Raw genomic sequence first — 2,804 nt, 5'->3', positions numbered from 1 at the left:
CTTACAATTCATTTATTAAATAGTGTATTTCCAGGTTTACATTTTTAATGGCATCCACATATATGGTTGTATTAAATTTATTTAACCTTGAAGTGTTGAATGATTTCATGCTACCAAAGTTTTGCTATTATTAAAAAAAAAAAAAAGCTGTGCAGAGTATGACTATAGACAGATTTTTGTGTGGTATTCAAACAGTGTTTGCAAAAATTATGACAGTGAGAAAAATCTGACATAGGAAAATTTTAACCGTAAGAAATCTGACCTAACCAACTCCTTGCTTCTAACTCCCAAGCTGCCCTTGTTCATTCCTGGGTATAGGCCAAGCTAATTATGGGAGGAATTTAGTCTATAGTTTAACTTTGACACAAAGATAATAACAGCCCCTTCCCCAAACAAACTCCCTCTTGGGGACCAGATCACCTTTGTGAAATGAACAAATTAGTTACAAGTTTAGAAATTATGCCTCAAGAGTTATGCAGCCACAAACTACAAGACTCCCAACTTACCCAATTGTTTCTATAGATAACATCACTACTGTAAAACCTAAGACTGATGATCCAGGTATTTTTCGGACTCTGCATTCTGATGGCCCAGCTAGCACCATCCAGACCAATAAACTGGCTCATCTGGTCTTGCAGCCCCACCCACGAACTGATTCAGCACAATAAGATAAGCTTCCTGTGGTTTCATCCTGGATGCAACCAATCAGCATTCGTCATTTCCTAGTTCCCTTGCCCTCCAAACTATCCTTAAAAACACCCTAGCCTCTGAACTTTTGGGGAGGATGATTTGAATGAAAAAGAACTCCTGTACTTCCACTTAGCCAGCTCTGCATTTTTTAAACTCTCTATTGCAAAAACCTGCTGTTCTCAATACTTTGGCTTTTCTGGGCAGTGGGTAATTACAATATTTAATCATTTCCTTAGGATATGGGCAATTACAATATTTAACCATTTTCTTAGGATAAGTAACTAGAGGTAACATTTCTGGAGCAAATGTGAGGAACAATTTTAAGACCTAAGAAATATACAGCCAAATCAATCTTTTACATTGTCTTTTATTGATACAAAAACAAATTATACTGTTTTTTCTTTCTTATTATTAATAAGTCTTATGATGTTTTTCCTATTTATAGTTTTTTTTTAAGCTTTTAATTTGTGAATACTTTTCTATTGGGCATGCATTTTAGTTTATTGTGTGTAAGAGTTCTTTTAATAATAAAAATATACCTGCACAGAAGCAAGGGGCAGAGAACATCCCTTTGTTGACATCTAGTAAGGGGCTAGGGATCTCAGTCCTACAACCTCAAGGAACTGAATGTTGCTCATTATCTAAATAAGTTTAGAAGCAGGATCTTTTCTAAACTCTTCAGATAATAACCAGTCATGTTGACACCTTGAATTTAACCTTGTGAGACTTCAATCAGAGAAGCTAGTCAAACCACCCAGATTTAAACTTATTATATTCAGAAATTCTCCATTGTTCCTAGTTTAGTTAGGGCTTTTAATTTAAATATACATGTATTATTTTATATATATATATATATATATATTTAAGCATCTTTTATAAAGTTTTATTCTATTGTGATATATCTATGCAGTGAATTATATAAAATATTTTCCAATTTGGAATTTATGAAATGAACCTTTCTTGAGCCTCATACATTTTTCTTTTCAGTTATGTTATTTAAGATTATATGTATTAGACTTATGTGCATATATACAGACATATAAGGAGCATAGATATGTAATATGTTCCTTTCTTTTATTTTCTGCTATAATTTTTTTTAAAATTTAACTTTTAGGATTATGCCAGAGTCATAACATGAGTTGAAAAGCTTTCCATCATTTTTACATATCATGTAAATTATTTGTTCTTAAATATGTGCAAAAAATAATTTGCCTGTAAAATCATTTTGGACAGAAAACAGGCAGTTGTGGGCTTGGAAAATGACACCCCAAAGTATGGAGCTTTGACATACTAAATACTTAGAACTGAAAAAGCAGTCTCAGAACCAAGATCTCTCTGACCTTCCCCTACTCCTCTGTCTCTCCGTTCTCTTTCTCTCCTGAAGCACAGGGAGGGGCTGTCTGTGAAATTTCCCTTGTCTGACTGAGGGAAGTTCCTCAGGAAGAATCCCATTGTCATGAACCCTGCTCCCTGGAGTTAACATTAACCAGAGAAGATTAAGTCCTATTGTAGGGGAAGGGGAGGAAACTAAGGGTCTCCACGCCCAGGAGCTTATGCCCAGATAGACTTTTCACTCAGTCTTCTGAGGGCTGCTACCTGAGAGACTTTATCTGCATAATAAGACAATCTTTGTTTCCAGTGTAGTTCCTCTCCTCACATTCCCATAGCTTGTAAAATGTCAAAACTCTAAAGATAGCCAAGAGGGTTGAAAATACGGGTGAACAGAGCTAATTTTGTTGATTCACATCTTACTTCTGTATTATAATAATATTGATTGTTATAGGATATTAACTCCATTAGATTTATATTGATACTTCTATTTGTTAAGAAATTTCATAATTTTTTTACTCAATTGTCTCAATAAATATGTAAACTAATTAACTTTATTCTTACTCTCTATGTAAATATACTAAGGAATATAGTGACCAAGAAGGGCTTAACATTACCCTCGGCCTGACTATACAGGCTTCTTCCTGACTATAGGCTCCGGACCTCTCTTTTCTTTGAGTATTTACTTTAGAAAATTTGCAATTGTAAATTCTTTCTCTGACCCTTTGAGATGTCAGTCTTCTACAACTCAGGAACGTCTTTCTCAAGGACCTAGTAATAATTCC

At 34.3% G+C, this 2,804-nt stretch overlaps 1 annotated feature.

Moving 5' to 3' along the window:
* Positions 1,909-2,459: an enhancer, noted in NCBI's record as "OCT4-NANOG hESC enhancer chr11:40052323-40052873 (GRCh37/hg19 assembly coordinates)". NCBI's record gives its function as "activates a minimal SCP1, AML or CMV promoter by ChIP-STARR-seq in primed H9 embryonic stem cells {active_cell/tissue: H9 hESC(primed)}" and the evidence as "EXISTENCE:reporter gene assay evidence [ECO:0000049][PMID:30033119]".

The sequence above is a fragment of the Homo sapiens genome, chromosome 11 (genome assembly GCF_000001405.40).
Source record: "Homo sapiens chromosome 11, GRCh38.p14 Primary Assembly".
NCBI classification, from domain to species: Eukaryota; Metazoa; Chordata; class Mammalia; order Primates; family Hominidae; genus Homo; species Homo sapiens.
Note: the sequence above shows the minus strand (reverse complement) of the source record. Positions and strands in the feature narration are given on the sequence as shown.